Here is a 20855-nt window from a genome sequence, read left to right on the forward strand (position 1 = left end):
TTGTGTGAAGACAGCTCTCTATGGGAACATTCTTTGGGGAAACCTGGACCACATGACTGGTATGCCCCTTTAAACTCTAGCATCATTTAATTCATTTCTGTGTCTTCGAGAGACCAGAAAACTATAGCTCATGGGCCAAATTCAGTCTTCCACCTATTTTTGTAAATAAAGTTTTATTGGCACACAGCCACACTCATTTGTTTACATATTGTCACAGCTACTTTCCCACTGCAAAGAGTTGAGTAGTTGCAACAGAAATCATTTAGCCTAGAAAGCCTAAAATATATACTGCCCAACTCTTTATAGAAAATGTTTGCTGATCCCTGCCTTAGATGTATAATGTGTCGGGAAACCCATAGCTCTACCCCATAGTAAGTTAATCATCATGGCAAATTTTAAGTTATGAATGGGCATTTCTATTCCATCTATCCAGTTGCCTGTAGGGAGAAAAGAAACGTTCATCAAATACAGGGTACAAAGAGCAAGTATCTATGGGGGTGGAGGCTCTCGATGATAAGGATAAACATCTGCTGGAAAGGATAAAAGATGAGGATCACAGATAGAAGAGCTGCTGATGGGAAGGAACGGAAAGCAATTAGGAAAACAGAAGGCAACTTGAAGGCTTTGGCCCTGGTTAAAGATGCTTTTGTATGATGAGCACTTTCTCCTCTCATTTCCCCAATAGTCTATATACCTTCTCAAAAATATTGATGTCCTTGACCGGGTGCGGTGGCTCACACCTATAATCCCAGCACTTTGGGAGGCCGAGGTAGGCAGATCACCTGAGGTCAGGAGTTCAAGACCAGCCTGGCCAACATGGTGAAAGCCCTGTCTGTACTAAAATTACAAAAATTAGCTGGGTGTGGTGGCACATGCGGGTAATCCCAGCTACTCGAGAGGCTGAGGCACAAGGATCACTTGAACCCAGGAGGTAGAGGTTGCAGTGAGCAGAGATCATGCCACTGCACTCCAGCCTGGGTGACAGAGTGAGACTCTGTCTCAAAAAAAAAAAAAATTAGATGTCCTTTATAATTACTACTATTAATCAAGTACAATCCTAGGAAATTGTTTTTGTTATGCTATTTGATTCTTAAAGGATAGGTATTATTATCCTAATTTTATAAATAAGCCAAATTCTGTAGAGCTTAAGCAACTTCTCCATATCTAATCAGTGGTTAACCTTGTAGTCAAACCTACTTTTATCACTCTCAGATTTTCTACTGTGCCTCAACTAAAGTTATTCAGTTCTAAAACATCACTTAAAGGCAGATAAATGTTACCTAAAATTCTGATAACCAGAATTTCTTAGGCACTGTGCTAGATAATTGTTTATCGTTGAGCAAAGCTTTACAATTTCTACTTATGCTAATTATCTCTTGCTCTCCACAAATTTAGCTCTTGGGTAGGGCTGTGGGAAATGGAAAATGGAAAGACAAGGTGCAGTAAAGAATCTGCCGCATCCTGCATGGATAGCAACCCTGATGAAATTTATCTTAACATGAAAGAAAGGGATTTTATTCAATATGAATAGAAACACAGGAAGCAATTGAAGAATAGACAAAAATGAACTGTTTGAAAATGGCAGCTGCAAACCTTATCTCTTATATTCCATTGCTACAAAGACTAGTCAGCTTTTCTTAGCCAAATGTGAATTAGAGGAAATATAATTTAGTGTTTAGAAAATATGCCTAATTTACCACCAAAGCCATACAATTTGTCTTGAAGTAAGGAATTCTACATCAGCTTTTTAAAATGATGGTGATTAAGTAGACTACAATATACTTCAAGTGTTCTTTTCCTTTCATTATTTGTGGCACCCTGATGAAAAGTAATTATGCTTTGGCGAATTTTCCTCTTAGATGTAATTTGGACCACTTATCTGAGATTCTCAGAAGGGAGCTGACTTGACAACTAAAAGAGAACACCTGTTTCTATCAATGTAAAGGAAGCTGGTCCTGAGAGTCTTTTCCTCTACTTAGCAACGCACAGTGTTTCTGCAACCAGAATTATTGAGTGAGGTACTAACGAAATGCCTTCTGTATCCAGCATTTTCATTCAAAGAAATCAGGAATTAAACGGTGTACTTTTTAGATTTACACGAGGAAAGAAAGAAGAATGCTCATGAATATAAAATAACTGAAAGAGAAAAAGGAGTGGAAAGTGTAGCAGTGATTAACAGTACTAAGATATACAGATATCCAGCCCTAGAGACCAACACACCCTCAATAAGGATGCCCCTCAGCTACTCAGGTGGTTAGGAAAAATATTTCATAGTTTGGGATTCTGTTATTTTATTAAACGGGTCAAAGGGAGGTCTGCAGAAGATGTTGTATGTTTTATTTCCAAGAATGTCTGTGTGTGAAAATTCTATCCGCCCTCTTCTCATTGGTATTTAAGGTAGGCAACTGGCATGATATTTGTTGTTCATAAAAGAAGGATGGCTCCATCACATTACTGAAACACTAAATAATTCAATTTTCTGACTAGGAGCTGTGGAGCTTCAAACTTACTTATAAGATATTTTATTTTTTCCTTTTATGACCTATAAAAAAGCCTGTACAGCTATTACCTAGTTTTTCCATCGTGTTTTAACAAATATCGAAAAGCACTTTCACAAATACAAGCATTTGGTTTCACTGCATTCTTAAGTTAAACATTAACAAGTAAAATAAAGATAGTGCCAAAGACCTAACACATTAAATTTAGGTGGATCTACTGAAAATCAATTAATGGACTTCAAAAAATTTTTGCTTTTCTTTGCCTCTGTTTTGCCACCTCTTTTTGTTTGTTGTTAATGGGATTCTAATTTTCTGATGGAAACTGTTGAAAGGAAATGCTGCAACAAGTAATTTGGGTTATCCTTGTGACACATTAGAATTTTTGTATCCTGTCAATTTTCTGAAGGTGTTTACAAGACAGAACATATGAACTTTTAAAGACTTTGTACTAAAATGTAATATACATTAAAAATACATGAGTACCACTCAATTATTTTAGAAACTAATATATCCATATAGCCAGCACCTAGATCCAGAAGCAGAACTTTTGCCAGCCCCTAGAACACTCCCCTCATATTCTTTGTAATTATCACAAGGATAACCACTATTCTGACTTAAAATAGCACAGATGAGTTTGGCCTATTTTCATGGGTACATGAACTTCTATTACCTTACTTAATCTACAAGCAGAAACACAGGCGTGGAGACATGAAGCAATTTCTACAGTGTCTTGCAACTCTTGAAGAGTGAAATCTAGGCTTTTCATGTAGTGTGCTTCTACAGAACTGCCTGCAGCCTCTAAAAGTCCTCCTAATAACCAATGAAGGGAGGAATCTAGATGACCAGCCTACCTCTTTGCATGTTAATTTCTGACTGCTTTAAATATAAGGATTAAAAGATATTCCCTTTCCAAGTCTTTATCTATATCAGAACTTGATACTGTGCCACTGAACTCTAGGAGCTCACCATCTAGGAAAGAAGATTAAACATGGAAAGAGAAAGTAAGACAAGAGATGTACAATAATCATCAAGCCTTTGGCTGATTTTTTTCTGCTCAAGCCACATCACTTGATATGGTTAGGCTTTGTGTCCCCACTCAAATCTCATCTTGAATTATAATCCCCACCTGTTGAAGGAGGGACCTGTAATCCCCACGTATTGATGGAGGAAGGTGATTGGATAATGGGGGCGGGTTTCCCCCATGCTGTTCTTGTGATAGGGGGTGATTTCTCACAATATCTGATGGTTTTATAAGGCAGTTTTCCCTGCTCTTGCTCACTCTCTCTCACCTGCTGCCATGTAAGACATGCCTGCTTTGCCTTCCACCATGATTGTAGGTTTCCTTCCACCATGATTGTAGGTTTCCTCAGCCAGGTGGAACTGTGAGTCAATTAAACCTTTTTTCTTTATAAATTAGCCAGTCTCAGGGAAGTTCTTTATAGCAGTGTGAGAATGGACTAATACAGCACTCAACTGTTATTTTTTTATCTATCAGTGTTCTCTAGAGAAAGAGAACAAATAGGACATGTGCATATGTATATTAGGAAAAGAAATTTATTTTCAGGAATTGACTCCCATGATTACAGAGTCTGACAAGTCCAAAACCTGCAGGGTAGGCTGGCAGCTGGAGATCCAGGGAAGAGCTGCAGTTCAAGTCCAAAGGCAGTCTGCTGGCAGAATTCCCTCTTCTGGGGAAGTCAGTCTTTTCTTAAGAACTTCAACCGATTGAGTGAAGCCCACTCACATTATGGAGTGTACTCTGATTGAATCAAAGTCTACTTATTTATATATTATTCTCATCTAAAAAACACCTTCACTAGAATAATGTTTGACTGGCTATCTGGGTATCATGGCTTAGCCCAGTTGACACATAAAATTAACTCTCACAGATGCATATTACATGCGGCCTCCTAGGTGCTCTTCTGATCTTGTCTAGATTTATTTAATTTATATATTGCTGCTGAAATAGCCAGGCCTTAATGCCTTATCATTTTAAGTAAACAGTAAGCTCCAGTAGGGCAGTGAGCTTTTCTTGAACTTCTTTTATCTTCCACTGTCCTGATCTCAGAACTCACTGTATATCTATTGATCAAGTGATATATATTATTAAGTGTAAATTTTAACATTTTCTACATAGACTATGCAATTTTTTTTTTTTTGAGACAGAGTTTCACTCTTGTTGCCCAGACTAGAGCACAATCTTGGCTCACCGCAACCTCTGCCTTCGGGTTCAAGCAATTCTCCTGCCTCAGCCTCCCAAGTAGCTGGGACTACAGGCATGTGCCACCATGCCTGGCTAATTTTGTATTTTTAGTAGAGACAGGGTTTCTCCATGTTGGTCAGGCTGGTGTAATCATAATACTGTATTAAAGCACAGACAAGCAGAAAATCATTTCAGGACTAGGCAGCAGAAATAAAAACATACTAATTTCACTTTCTGTGTTATGGAAAATTTTCTCAATTGTAGGAAATACAAAAAAGTTTTGATCTGCCATACTCAAAGTCCAACCGAAATTCCCAGTTGCCTACAGAACTTTACAAAGTCTGTCAAGTTCATTATACCTGATCTAGATTCTAACTCCTTTATTTCCGCAGAAACGGTAGGTATAAGTAATCTGTTCATTGATATCACTTCCTCATTATGTAAAAGGAAGTTTAAGAAGAAAATAAAATGGAGAGTTTAGCTTATGGCTTGATAACTGTCTACTGAGTTGCTAATATTAACACAAAATCTATTTCCGTTTAGTTTGAGTCCTGTATTTCAATAAAATTGTTTTTCAAGGCTCCTGAAGTTTTAGTTAATATTTCTGTGTTTCTAGATTCTCTTACTTCACTTGTATAAAGTTGAACTTGTACAAATTTGGACTTTTTTTTTACCGATGATAGTATTTGTTCATAAGTCTATTTCCTGCCCTAGACTGTCAGCTTCTTGAGTGTACATTATTTACGATTGTGAGTGGCTTTTTCACACCCCAAAAATGCACGCATCGTTTTGTTTGATTTGGTTTTGTTGAATTTGTGTGTGTGACCATGTGGAAGCACAAGAAAACACATATCATGCTTTGTTGACACTGTAACAAATCTAGACTTTTCTAAGTTCCAGGATCCTGGTATTTCAAACAGTGTGATTTTGCTGTGAAAAAAAAAAAAAAACAGGATTGGCTTTTCCAGTGGTTTCTGACCACTATATGCTATAATATCTATTTAAGTGCCCAAATGTCTATTGTGGTACATGTTGGATTCTGTCCAAATGACCTAGAGAAGTGCAGGGTAGCTATTAAGTATGTAAAAGTTACTTGCGTGTACCTTCTATGACCAAGAAAAAAATCCAAAGAACTGTTTAGTAATTTTGGAGGATCTACTCTGTACCCAGGCACTGAAATAGGTTGCAAGGATACAAAGGTAAATAAGATATAATTCTTAATGTCAAAAAGTTCACAAAAAAGTGAACTTTAAAATAATATTAAAATAATATTTGAAAGGCAGAAGCTGTAATATGTTTTTATATTTACAAAACAAAATTACTTTTAAAAATAATAATTTAATATGAAAAGGGCCAAAATTCATGAGAAATATGGTACCTGAAGAGGATGTTGCTTGTCAGGTTTTAGACATTCCTAAAGCTTTAAATAAGAGTTTCTTCAGGGATTGCCATAGATAAAAATATTTTGTGTGTTTTTTTCTATTGAAATGGTCCCAAAAAAGCTAAAGGATATACTAGGCGGAAAAAAAAGGGAACATAACAGAGCACTGGCATTTACTAATTCGAACACTGTTTTTAAGGTAAGTTATAAATACATGAATGTGTGACCCTGGAATCAGCTATATCATAAGGCAAGAAATAAGCTTAGTTCTTAGTGTTTGGAAAGTATTTTGAGGCTGTATTACTTCTATTACTGGATATCTTCAGGGGTTTGATCCAAAAATGCAATCCAAAGATTCATCTAAGACCTATTTTTTCTGCAAGATTTGAAACGGAAATGTTCAGAGCAAGTCAAAAAATCCACTAATATGCAAGAGTACAGAAGTTATATCTTTAGTTTTCAAAAATCTATAATGATGATAAAAATGAAGCCACAGGAAGAGAAGCCTCAAGGGGGCTGACTAGAGACATACAGCACTCACTTCCTCCACAAAGAAAAACTAAACTAGCAAGTAGCTAATCACATTTTGAATAAAGCATCTAAGAGAGAACACTTGAGTTCAACAGAGAAGTCACAGGAAATACTGGAGACATGGAAGGAGAGGGATGCCAGGAAGCCAGCTCAGGCCAGATGGGAGCCCAGAGAGCCTCCACAGTGTGGAGAAAGGGTAAGTGAGAGACCTCCAGCAGTCCACATCCCCACCACCAACTCCTGCAAACCTCACCACAGGAGAGCACCTAGACCCTAGTGGGCCCTGAAACTAACATATAGTCTTTCTATGGGAAAATTAACATGCATCATTAAGTAACTTTAATATCGAGTAAGCAAAGTGTGGACACTGAGATTTGGCATATAACAGTGAATGAAACAAACAATATCTCTACCCTCATTACCAGGGAAGGATTCACAGAAGAGGTGGCATTAGAGAGAGGGCTTGATCAATATCAGGTTTTGGCAACATGATGACATGATGTCAACATCATAGAAAACGGTTGACATGATTATAGTGCTATTGCCAAAGGAGTTGTATGAAGCTGAATGGGATCATTTTCTCACCCAGCATATCTATTTATGTTCTTATTCTCAGGATACCAACTACAGTACTGGAAGTGCTGGAAAAATTCTTGATTTACAAGACTCTTTTAAATTCCTTTAATGGTCTGGCAACATGGAATTTGTCCAGTCTTATAAATGAAAATGTACTACTAAAGATAAAATATTCTCTTTGCTTTTATGTTTATTTATTTTTAAAGAAAAGCTAGAAATTTTTTCAGTGTTCACTAACAAAATCAGGCAGAATTCGTGTTAGAGAATTTCAATAACAGATTTAGAATCAACAATGAAATTTGAAGAGCAAGAAATTATAATAAGGAAAAAAATAAGCCCGTCATTTTTCCTTTTTTTTTTTTTTTTTTGAGATGGAGTCCTGCTCTGTCACCCAGGCTGGAGTGCAGTGGCAGGACCTCGGCTCACTGCAACCTCCGCCTCCTGGGTTCAAGTGATTCTTCTGCCTCAGCCTCCCGAGTAGCTGGGACTACAGGCGAGCACCACCACGCCTGGCTAATTTTTGTATTTTTGGTAGAGACGGAGTTTCACCATATTGGCCAGGCCAGTCTGGAACTCCTGACCTTGTGATCCACCCACTTCAGCCTACCAAATGTGCTGGGATTACAGGCACGAGCCACTGCACCCAGCCTTTTCCTATTTTTTATTTGAAAAATTTAATCCTTCTGATTATTTTTCCAGGCATGCATTTAAAAATTTTTTTACAAAGGTTCTTCTTCCTATTTAACTGACAGGATTTATTCTCACTATTAGATTCTATTTAATTTTTCTTTCTGACCTTAGTCTTCTTTCATTTATAATCTTCTCTGTTTCCTTTATTCAGTTTCCTCCTTCTTCTATGCTAGTCACTCTTAATTATTTGTTCTGTAATAATAGATGTGCCTTTCAATACAAGTGGAATTTTTCTAACAACCTCTTTGGTCAGTGGTGGTCAGAGGCTGCCACAGGGCAGATTTTTATTAGAACTTTAGGAACACACAGCAGCCTACTGTTAAGATTTTCAAGTTCATTTTAAGGAACAATTTCAAGTTCTAATCAAAAAATTATCATTTCACTTTTAAGACAGTAGAAGATTTACAATCTCTGTCCCCAGAGTCTGCTGAACTCAGACTTATGGGCACTCAGGTGATGCGTTTCTTTGGACTGCCCTTCAACTTTGTCCTAAAGTGATAGTACCAACCTCCCGTCAGCTTAGTATATCATAAGACTGTTTGCTTGCTCAAGTGTCTGGAATAAAACTTCATTACCTTCTTTTTTCTCAGTACACTAGCTATGTGTACCTTTATGTGCACTCTATATTTACTATTTTAATGTTCCCCCTAAAAAGCTATCTGCATTAGCAAGAAAGCAGCCCAAGACAATATCTTTAAATAAGTTGAAGAAATTAGTCAGGCCAACAAGATAAAATACTTTAAGCCAAGTTAGATAGTAAATACTGCCTGCATCTGTCCACGCATGCAGTCATTCTTTAGCCTCTATTTATTTTGCATTGTATTTATAGATATTTTCCATTCAATGACTGACCTGTTCTACACTCTATAGCATTTGTTAAATTTATGGCCTTCTTATTTTTAATGAGGATCTGTAGCTTGAATTTACCATTTACAGCACAATAGATGTGACTTTTGCTCCTAAACTCATTATTTCTGTCTCTCATTACTATTACTAGAACTCTGAGACATTTTCTATCAGAGATTTAGTTGTTTTTGTTAAAAAGCAGAAATCCCAGTGGATGCTTTTCCTATTCTTTTCATTTAAAATACAACCAAAAGATCTTACTTCAGTCTTATTCTGTAATAGCATAGTTCACTGAATACCAGATGAAAGTTATGTTATTTTCATTAAAATACAAATTAATAAGCAAGACAAAAATATCTACTCTGGAATGACAAATGCCTTTTAAGGCTATTTCACAAATCAAAATAAGTTAAAAAAAATCTATCTTGCTTTTATAAGTTAAAGTAGTGAAAAGACACAGTAGTTTTCTAAATTTAAAATTCAAATCTCAAAAATGGTTTTGATTTTTAAATAAATTAATATTAACTCTTAGTCTTGTCAGTGGATTAGCTGCCTTTCTATACTTTTTTTTCCTATTGTGAAATCTCCATTTTCCTATTGTGTTTGTAAATATTTGTTCCTTAGGCTTAGATACTTTTTCATATACCAATTCCAGAAAGATTTTTCAGGCTATAAAGTTGGATATGCATGAGAATTAAATGATATAAGAGGCGTTAGTTAACTCATTCAAATAGTTTCAAAGGAGATGTGAAGGAATACCAGCCACTTGACTTACAAACTAAAAATGATTAATATAGGTCACTTCCTAGAAGCTATTACTATGTCTTTGGTCAAAAAATTTACCATAAAATTTTCAAGTAAATGTTAATCCAAATATTACAATCCCCACTAACTTTCTGTGTGATATCTAAAATTATTAACCAACCAATTTTCCCACAAGATAGGGTGGGATGGGGTGGGAGGATTCACGTAAACTACTGCATGAATCATACACTCTGGAATTGTGCAAAGCAACAGTCCTATACCCAATACTCTATGAAACTTTATTCTTTAATAATGATAAAAATATAAAGCACAATTTTGAGGCAGCATTGTACTTTACCCAGAAGGCTTTTTCTGTACTTCAACAGTATAATTATTGAAAAGATTTTATTAGGATAAGAAAATCAGAATATGAGGTAAATACAATTTTTGTTCATTTCCTTACTTCATAAAATTTTAAGTACCATCGACTCTCCCTTTATTAAAAAATAATTGTTCCTTAAAATTAAATATTAACTAAATTTGTGAAAGCAAATCACATACTAAATATAGCAAGATTTAAACTAGAGATCAATTAAAGAAAATAAGTTGAAAAATCACAGAGAAGTAAAAAGTCACTTAATTTTGTTAAATTAAGTTTGGCCTAAAGCTGCCTCATTACATATTTTAAGTTTGTCCTAAAGGTTTATCCATGCATAGTGAACTGTAACCTAACTGGATGTGTAAACAGACTGTAACCTACTCTTGTACCAACCACAGAGTTCCAGCCAATCGCAGGCACCCAGCTGTTCAAACTGTGTTCAGATAGGCTAAATGCTAAGCTGTAATCAATCCAGATGTTTCCGTACCTTACTTCCATTTTCTATACTTCATTTTGCTTTTTTTTAAAATCCATAAATATCATCCAACCATGTAGCAGAGTCGCTTTGAACCTACCTATTCTGGTTGCAGGCTAGGGCAGGTGGGAGGTGGGGAGCTGATTTGTGAATCATGCTTTGCTCAATTAAACTCTATTAAATTTAATTTTTCTGAAAAATTATCTTTTAACAACGATATTAAGATCTTCATAGTAATACATATTTTATTTGTCTCTAGCATGAGACTATTAGCTTCTGAAGAAGAGACTAGGCCTTGCTTAACTTTGTACCCCAATATCTAACCCAAAATCATTCCTCAGGTATTATTAATTCAGGCTGAAAAGAGATCCCCATAGCTCTATCCTGAGAATGTGGACTTGTCTAAATGTAAGGGAAAGCAAAGTGAAGAATACCTCTGTGATAAAAGCAAATACCATTTTATTTTATTATTATTTAAGTTGAAAAACTTTAAGAATACCTAATACAATACTGGGAACAATAATACATATTTTATTTGTCTCTACCATGAGACTATTAGCTTCTGAAGGAGACACTAAGCCTTGTTTAACTTTTTACTCCAATATCTAACTCCTAGCAAAATGTAGGCACTCAAAAAACATTTGCTGGCTGAGTGCGGTAGCTCACGCCTGTAGTCCCAGCACTTTGACAGGCAGAGGCAGGCGGATCACCTGAGGTCAGGAATTCGAGACCAGCCTGGCCAACATGATGAAACCCTGTTTCCACTAAAAATATAAAAATTAGCTGGGCATGGTGGCGCATGCCTGTAGTCCCAGCTACTCGAGAGGCTGAAGCAGGAGAATCGCTTGAACCCAGGAGGCGGAGGTTGCTGTGAGCCAAGATCACGCCACTCCACTCCAGCCTGGGAGACAGCAAGACTCTGCCATAAAATAACATAAAATAATAAATTTTTTAAAAAATTGCTGAATGAAAAGAATGAAAGCAGATCAAAGTCACCTAATCAGCATATTTAGAACAGACAGTACAAAACGTTTTAAATATGTGTTTAGACTTGGACTTCAATCTCATATCGTGGCCAGTTAATAAAGTATCAAGAAGACAATAAAGAAAAGGGGAAAGGGCACTAAAATAGGAAGAGAGGACAAGAAAAGACAGAGAAGGTTAGAGAGGGAGACAGGGCACAGCAACAGAGGCCCTGAAAAACAAAGTCGGGTGCGGGTCCGAGAAAGAAGTAGACTGGAAATCAAAACAGTGGTAGAGAAGAAAATAAGAAAGGGGAACAGAAGGGGCAAAACCTGATAGATGAGGCACATTCCTATGTAAAGTTTTATAAACGCCCTTTCACAATCTGCAGTTCACCAGGCCACAAATTTCAGCTTTTAAACTTCTCATTACTCATCTTTGAAGTGTGAATTAACTGGTGCATTACTGTATAGAATCTTGAGTGTATATTTTTTCTACTTTTGAATTTTTCTAGTCATAGTGACCAGAACAAAATCATGCCTCAGCTATTATTAATTCAGGCTGAAGAGGAATCCCAACCCCACTGCTCTATCCTGAGAATGTGAACTTGTTTAAATGCAAGGGAATCCTTTCTGAAAGTGAAGAACACCTTTGTGATTAAAAACAAACACCATCTAATTTCACTTTATTTAAGCTGAAAAGCTTTCACAGTACTTAATACAATACTGGGAAAATGGTATGTAATCAGAATGATACTTCTAAACTCAGCTTTTTACGTGTTCTTTTTTCAGTAGGAAATAGTGTTAAACAATCTCATGAAAAAGATTTTGAAACTAGGCATATGAATGTTCAAATCTATTTTCCAACTTTTACTCTACTTGATTTATCCCTTTTATTCCTTCTTAATTCACAGTATCGGATTTGATTATCCTAAGTTAAAGAATGGCTCTTGAAACCCCCTCAACTGTAAATAACCATTACTCCGGCTGAGCATCTTTGATCAATACGTGTGATCACTGATCTCTATCATAATGGTTCTTTCACATTCACTGCATCTCTGGGCTTTGCTTTCTTTGGAAAGATCTGAAGTAAAAAAAACTCATCATTATGGCTATAAGCAATAAGACACACAAAAAGCCCTATTTCCAAACGTCTGGTAACATCAGAAACAACAGATTATTCAGAGTAAAATTTCAAGGGACAGAGCATGCTTGGAAAGGAAATGGGTTTTTGAAAAAACCATTTCCCCACCTACTGTCACAGAATAGCTGAATGAAAACTGGTCAAGTCCAGATGAGAAGTCTGTGTTCCTCCCTTCTTCCCACTTCCTTCTCTTCTCTCTCTTTCTAATTTGTGTAAGAAATGACTAGGAACAAACTGTAAACATACAAGTAGCTATATAAATGTAAATATACTACACTTGGCACCAAAAAAAATCATTCCTGATCATTTGTATAAACCTATTATTTTTATAACAAATGATCATTTTTCTAATTAATTTATCATTTTTGATATGCTGAATTTTCTTTCCTGATTGATCATTAATTTTAGCTTTAGGTTTCTCATTCTGCCTAAAACTAGACCAAGAAAAATTAGCCTGAAAATTGTTCAAAAAAATCATTTAATGATACTTGTTAAAGCAAGGTAAGGTAAACTTAGGATTGATTATGACTGATCATGATAGGTACAGAGGCTAAAACAATGGGATTTTGTGGTGGAGGAGAGAGACTGGGTCACCTCCGAATACAGCATGAGCAAGTAGGAATTTACAGTCAAGGAGCAAGGTGGGGATCAGTGGATAGAAAATTACTAAGAGGATATATCAGGGGTAAATGGGATTCTGGCTAAACCTATCCACAGGATTCTCACTAAAGTCATGTCAGGGGGATCAGATATCAGTTGAGGATAATGGAAAATGAGGAACCCGATCAGATATCAAGGATGGGGTTCTTGCTAAATTGACTTAGCTGGGTTCTTTGCTAAAAATGGATTTTACAAGGAAAGTGCTTATATAGGCCCTTTTACAGGTGGTCTAGGAGGAGGTTCAGGGACCTGACTAAAGTTTGGCCAAGCAAAAAATTGCTGTCAAAATACAATCTTAAGACCTTGGAGAGGTCAACATTTAAATAAATTTCGTTGGTGACTTCCTATTTAATGCAACTATGGGTCTGAGCTTCGAGATTTTACACATTTAAGTTTCCATAAAACTTAGCATGAGGAGTCATACCTAATATAATTAGGTTGGAATAGCAGTAAAAAAAATGTGACATACTCTGCACTGTAAAATCCTCTCATAAAATGCCTTTCTCTAACATCAAGTGCCTATTCCTAATGGGGTATGCAGTAAACATGTCCAACTGGGGGGTATAGCAATGGAAATGATAGCAAATACATTAAGATTAATAATAATTGGGGGGAACTAAGATGGCCGAATAGGAACAGCTCCAGTCTACAGCTCCCAGCGTGAGCGACGCAGAAGACGGGTGATTTCTGCATTTCCATCTGAGGTACCGGGTTCATCTCACTAGGGAGTGCCAGACAGTGGGCACAGGCCAGTGGGTGCACGCACCGTGCGTGAGCCGAAGCAGGGCGAGGCATTGCCTCACCTGGGAAGCGCAAGGGGTCAGGGAGTTCCCTTTCCGAGTCAAAGAAAGGGGTGAAAAGAAATGGGACTATGTGAAAAGACCAAATCTACGTCTGATTGGTGTACCTGAAAGTGATGCGGAGAATAGAACCAAGTTGGAAAACACTCTGCAGGATATTATCCAGGAGAACTTCCCCAATCTAGCAAGGTAGGCCAACGTTCAGATTCAGGAAATACAGAGAACGCCACAAAGATACTCCTCGAGAAGAGCAACTCCAAGACACATAATTGTCAGATTCACCAAAGTTGAAATGAAGGAAAAAATGTTAAGGGCAGCCAGAGAGAAAGGTCGGGTTACCCTCAAAGGGAAGCCCATCAGACTAACAGCGGATCTCTCGGCAGAAACCCTACAAGCCAGAAGAGAGTGGGGGCCAACATTCAACATTCTTAAAGAAAAGAATTTTCAACCCAGAATTTCATATCCAGCCAAACTAAGCTTCATAAGTGAAGGAGAAATAAAATACTTTACAGACAAGCAAATGCTGACAGATTTTGTCACCACCAAGCCTGCCCTAAAAGAGCTCCTGAAGGAAGCGCTAAACATCGAAAGGAAAAACCGGTACCAGCCGCTGCAAAATCATGCCAAAATGTAAAGACCATCGAGACTAGGAAGAAACTGCATCAACTAACGAGCAAAATCACCAGCTAACATCATAATGACAGGATCAAATTCACACACAACAATATTAACTTTAAATGTAAATGGACTAAATTCTCCAATTAAAAGACACAGACTGGCAAGTTGGATAGAGTCAAGACCCATCAGTGTGCTGTATTCAGGAAACCCATCTCACGTGCAGAGACACACATAGGCTCAAAATAAAAGGATGGAGGAAGATCTACCAAGCAAATGGAAAACTAAAAAAGGCAGGGGTTGCAATCCTAGTCTCTGATAAAACAGACTTTAAACCAACAAAGATCAAAAGAGACAAAGAAGGCCATTACATAATGGTAAAGGGATCAATTCAACAAGAGGAGCTAACTATCCTAAATATATATGCACCCAATACAGGAGCACCCAGATTCATAAAGCAAGTCCTGAGTGACCTACAAAGAGACTTAGACTCCCACACATTAATAATGGGAGACTTTAACACCCCACTGTCAATATTAGACAGATCAACGAGACAGAAAGTCAACAAGGATACCCAGGAATTGAACTCAGCTCTGCACCAAGCGGACCTAATCGACATCTACAGAACTCTCCACCCCAAATCGACAGAATATACATTTTTTTCAGCACCACACCATACCTATTCCAAAATTGACCACATACTTGGAAGTAAAGCTCTCCTCAGCAAATGTAAAAGAACAGAAATTATAACAAACTGTCTCTCAGACCACAGTGCAATCAAACTAGAACTCAGGATTAAGACTCTCACTCAAAGCCACTCAACTACATGGAAACTGAACAACCTGCTCCTGAATGACTACTGGGTACATAACGAAATGAAGGCAGAAATAAAGATGTTCTTTGAAACCAACGAGAACAAAGACACAACATACCAGAATCTCTGGGACGCATTCAAAGCAGTGTGTAGAGGGAAATTTATAGCACTAAATGCCCACAAGAGAAAGCAGGAAAGATCCAAAATTGACACCCTAACATCACAATTAAAAGAACTAGAAAAGCAAGAGCAAACACATTCAAAAGCTAGCAGAAGGCAAGAAATAACTAAAATCAGAGCAGAACTGAAGGAAATAGAGACACAAAAAACCCTTCAAAAAATCAATGAATCCAGGAGCTGGTTTTTTGAAAGGATCAACAAAATTGATAGACCGCTAGCAAGACTAATAAAGAAAAAAAGAGAGAAGAATCAAATAGACACAATAAAAAATGATAAAGGGGATATCACCACTGATCCCACAGAAATACAAACTACCATCAGAGAATACTACAAACACCTCTACGCAAATAAACTAGAAAATCTAGAAGAAATGGATACATTCCTCGACACATACACTCTCCCAAGACTAAACCAGGAAGAAGTCGAATCTCTGAATAGACCAATAACAGGAGCTGAAATTGAGGCAATAATCAATAGTTTACCAACCAAAAAGAGTCCAGGACCAGATGGATTCACAGCCGAATTCTACCAGAGGTACAATGAGGAGCTGGTACCATTCCTTCTGAAACTATTCCAATCAATAGAAAAAGAGGGAATCCTCCCTAACTCATTTTATGAGGCCAGCATCATTCTGATACCAAAGCCAGGCAGAGACACAACCAAAAAAGAGAATTTTAGACCAATATCCTTGATGAACATTGATGCAAAAATCCTCAATAAAATACTGGCAAACCGAATCCAGCAGCACATCAAAAAGCTTATCCACCATGATCAAGTGGGCTTCATCCCTGGGATGCAAGGCTGGTTCAATATACGCAAATCAATAAATGTAATCCAGCATATAAACAAAGCCAAAGACAAAAACCACATTATTATCTCAATAGATGCAGAAAAAGCCTTTGACAAAATTCAACAACCCTTCATGCTAAAAACTCTCAATAAATTAGGTATTGATGGGACGTATTTCAAAATAATAAGAGCTAGCTATGACAAACCCACAGCCAATATCATACTGAATGGGCAAAAACTGGAAGCATTCCCTTTGAAAACTGGCACAAGACAGGGATGCCCTCTCTCACCGCTCCTATTCCATAGTGTTGGAAGTTCTGGCCAGGGCAATCAGGCAGAAGAAGGAAATAAAGGGTATTCAATTAGGAAAAGAGGAAGTCAAATTGTCCCTGTTTGCAGACGACATGATTGTTTATCTAGAAAACCCCATTGTCTCAGCCCAAAATCTCCTTAAGCTGATAAGCAACTTCAGCAAAGTCTCAGGATACAAAATCAATGTACAAAAATCACAAGCATTCTTATACACCAAGAACAGACAAACAGAGAGCCAAATCATGAGTGAACTCCCATTCACAATTGCTTCAAAGAGAATAAAATACCTAGGAATCCAACTTACAAGGGATGTGAAGGACCTCTTCAAGGAGAACTACAAACCACTGCTCAAGGAAATAAAAGAGGACACAAACAAATGGAAGAACATTCCATGCTCATGGGTAGGAAGAATCAATATCGTGAAAATGGCCATACTGCCCAAGGTAATTTACAGATTCAATGCCATCCCCATCAAGCTACCAATGACTTTCTTCACAGAATTGGAAAAAACTACTTTAAAGTTCATATGGAACCAAAAAAGAGCCCGCATCGCCAAGTCAATCCTAAGCCAAAAGAACAAAGTTGGAGGCATCACACTACCTGACTTCAAACTATACTACAAGGCTACAGTAACCAAAACAGCATGGTACTGGTACCAAAACAGAGTTATAGATCAATGGAACAGAAAAGAGCCCTCAGAAATAACACCGCATACCTACAACTATCTGATCTTTGACAAACCTGAGAAAAACAAGCAATGGGGAAAGGATTCCCTATTTAATAAATGGTGCTGGGAAAACTGGCTAGCCATATGTAGAAAGCTGAAACTGGATCCCTTCCTTACACCTTATACAAAAATCAATTCAAGATGGATTAAAGATTTAAATGTTAGACCTAAAACCATAAAAACCCTAGAAGAAAACCTAGGCATTACCATTCAGGACATAGGCATGGGCAAGGACTTCATGTCCAAAACACCAAAAGCAATGGCAACAAAAGCCAAAATTGACAAATGGGATCTAATTAAACTAAAGAGCTTCTGCACAGCAAAAGAAACTACCATCAGAGTGAACAGGCAACCTACAACATGGGAGAAAATTTTCACAACCTACTCATCTGACAAAGGGCTAATATCCAGAATCTACAATGAACTCAAACAAATTTACAAGAAAAAAACAAACAACCCCATCAAAAAGTGGGTGAAGGACATGAACAGACACTTCTCAAAAGAAGATATTTATGCAGCCAAAAAACACATGAAAAAATGCTCATCATCACTGGCCATCAGAGAAATGCAAATCAAAACCACAATGAGATATTATCTCACACCAGTTAGAATGGCAATCATTAAAAAGTCAGGAAACAACAGGTGCTGGAGAGGATGTGGAGAAATAGGAACACTTTACACTGTTGGTGGGACTGTAAACTAGTTCAACCCTTGTGGAAGTCAGTGTGGCGATTCCTCAGGGATCTAGAACTAGAAATACCATTTGACCCAGCCATCCCATTACTGGGTATATAACCAAAGGACTATAAATCATGCTGCTATAAAGACACATGCACACGTATGTTTATTGCAGCATTATTCACAATAGCAAAGACTTGGAACCAACCCAAATGTCCAACAATGATAGACTGGATTAAGAAAATGTGGCACATATACACCATGGAATACTATGCAGCCATAAAAAATGATGAGTTCATGTCCTTTGTAGGGACGTGGATGAAATTGGAAATCATCATTCTCAGTAAACTATCGCAAGAACAAAAAACCAAACACCGTATATTCTCACTCATAGGTGGGAATTAAACAATGAGATCACATGGACACATGAAGGGGAATACCACACTCTGGGGACTGTGGTGGGGTGGGGGGAGGGGGGAGGGATAGCATTGGGAGATATACCTAAGGCTAGATGACGAGTTAGTGGGTGCAGCGCACCAGCATGGCACATGTATACATATGTAACTAACCTGCACAATGTGCACATGTACCCTAAAACTTAAAGTATAATAAAAAAAAAAGGTTAATAATAATTGCCTCAGTAAAGCTAAACAGGCCAAAGAAGTCTTATAGAAGAAAGGGGTGTTGGGACAGGATCTGCAATCTAAGAAAAAAAGGATAATGAGACAAGCAATTAACATAATGGTCAAGATAATAAGATGGAGAAGGACAATGAGGTGAGTTAAACTACAAGGCAAATGACTGAATAAATAGATCTTTTTAAAAAATGGCATGAAGGTCCTTGGAGAGAAAAAAAGGTTTCAGGTCCTTTTTATAATTAATTCAACTTATCTAGACTTATATGGAATATATAAGCTTTAAAATTTGATTAATGAAAATAGGCACGATTTTTTTGGCATTCATTTGTATCCTTTTTTATGTTTTGGTCAGAAATTGATGATAGACTACTCTGGGGCAAGAAAGTAGAGACCCTGTCTTGTGAAGATACAATAATTAAGAGGTGGATGGAGGAGAATCTGGGAATGGCAGTTCTGCTACTTATTGGCTGCTATGATCTCAGAGCAGTACCTCCATGGCTTTCGTTCCCACTTTGTTCATCTATAGCATGAGGGGACACTGTGTGAGATGACTTTTCCCTCATAGTCAGAAGTAGCTAAGGGTTATAAAGCATTATATGGTTTTACTTGCCCAGTATATTATTTGTAAAACATCTAAAATCTACTTCCTATTTTCATCAGTGTGGATCCCAGAGTCCTGCTACAGGACCATCAAACACACCATATGGTCTTTGGATAGAAAATAATTCTTTCATTATACAAGGGAGAGCCTGTACAAGTAGATGTTATCAGTGTATACGTGTGTGTACATGCATGTGTGTATATATGAGTGAGTGTGTGAGTAGGTCTGTGTGTTGATACACTCAGTATTTTTTTCAGTGTAATGTTTATACCTGCTAATGAATCAAGCTGATATTTTCATCACTATTGACTCATTTATCAGGAACAATAAGTCTTCATGACATCCAAAGAGAAAAATTAAAAGGACTTAGAAAAAGGAAGACAGGAAAGGCATTTTACAACTTATCAAAACAAGATAACAAAGAGTTCATGTTTCATAAAAAAGTCTGTGAACAGAAAAGTTATAATAGGGCCTTTATGATATAGAAATAGGTAACAGCAGAATTAATTCTAATACATAGTAAGTAATATATGCATTTTGACTACTGGTTTTTAACTGAACCTTCTTCCAAGGGTTTGATAATCCTTCCCATCTGTTCCACAAAAGAGTGGACTATGATCTAAGAAACAAGTCATTTGAAGCCAATTTAAATAATCATAATCAATGAATGGCAAAGTGACCATAATACACCTTCTGAAAACAAGATATAAATATTCCCTGATGTGTTCACTGACCCTAATATAATCAGCTGGGCTTCCTGAAGCAGACCTTCCATAATGGTTCACATAATAGATTTAATTCTAGCACTGAAAAACATCATATAAAATTTCCAGTCTGCCAAGCTTCCACTTCAGCATGTTACTTAGATTTCTTTCTGATCTGGCTAGCGTCACATAGAAAACCCTGGAAAAAGGCTAGCCAAGCTTGTCAAAAATATTCTGTCTTCTGTATTTGTTATAAGAAAGAATAACTCTTCTTTGGTTGTCATGGCCACTGTCATATTGGAATTGGGAGAGTTTTATTTTAAAATTCATGAGTCAGTACATTTATATTCCATTAGTCACCCAGTCCATGTATCTCATTCAAACCTAAATCTTCTTTCTCTTCTCATTATCGTCTGATGACCTTGCTTCCTATTTCACTGAGAAAAGAGCCATCAAAAACCAAACTTCCACATGCTCTCACTGCTGATTCAACCTACTGGATCCATGTCCAAGTTCTCTGCCTTCCTCCTAGGACCAGAGATGAATCGTTTATTCTCCTGGTTCGGTTCACTCTTGCTTACACACAGATTTTGCTCCTGCAGTTCTCTCCTTTCTCTTCTTAATCATTAATTTTTCTCTACTCTCTGGGATAATGTTTATTAACATGAAAATATTCTGCTATGGCTCCCACCTTATAAATTTCCTTCACCTTTCTAACCTTCCCTCATTGCTCTGATCTCTTTTGTAGTAAAATTCTATATTTTACAGTAAAACCACCATATCTTACCCACATCATTCATGACTTATAATAAATCCAGTTTGCTTAATTTATATGATAAAATCATTATCTTTCTTACCACCATTCCTATGATACAACCTGAGATCTAGCAGTCAAGCTCTCTCCTTTC

At 37.1% G+C, this 20855-nt stretch overlaps 1 protein-coding gene across 17 annotated transcripts in view; it reads right to left on the reverse strand.

The window, feature by feature from the left end:
* Positions 1-20855, reverse strand: part of EPM2A (EPM2A glucan phosphatase, laforin) — a 352671-nt gene that overhangs the window by 266198 nt on the left and 65618 nt on the right. The gene's annotated exons all lie outside the window — the stretch shown is intronic.

This window comes from Homo sapiens, chromosome 6, assembly GCF_000001405.40.
Source record: "Homo sapiens chromosome 6, GRCh38.p14 Primary Assembly".
Lineage (NCBI taxonomy): Eukaryota > Metazoa > Chordata > Mammalia > Primates > Hominidae > Homo > Homo sapiens.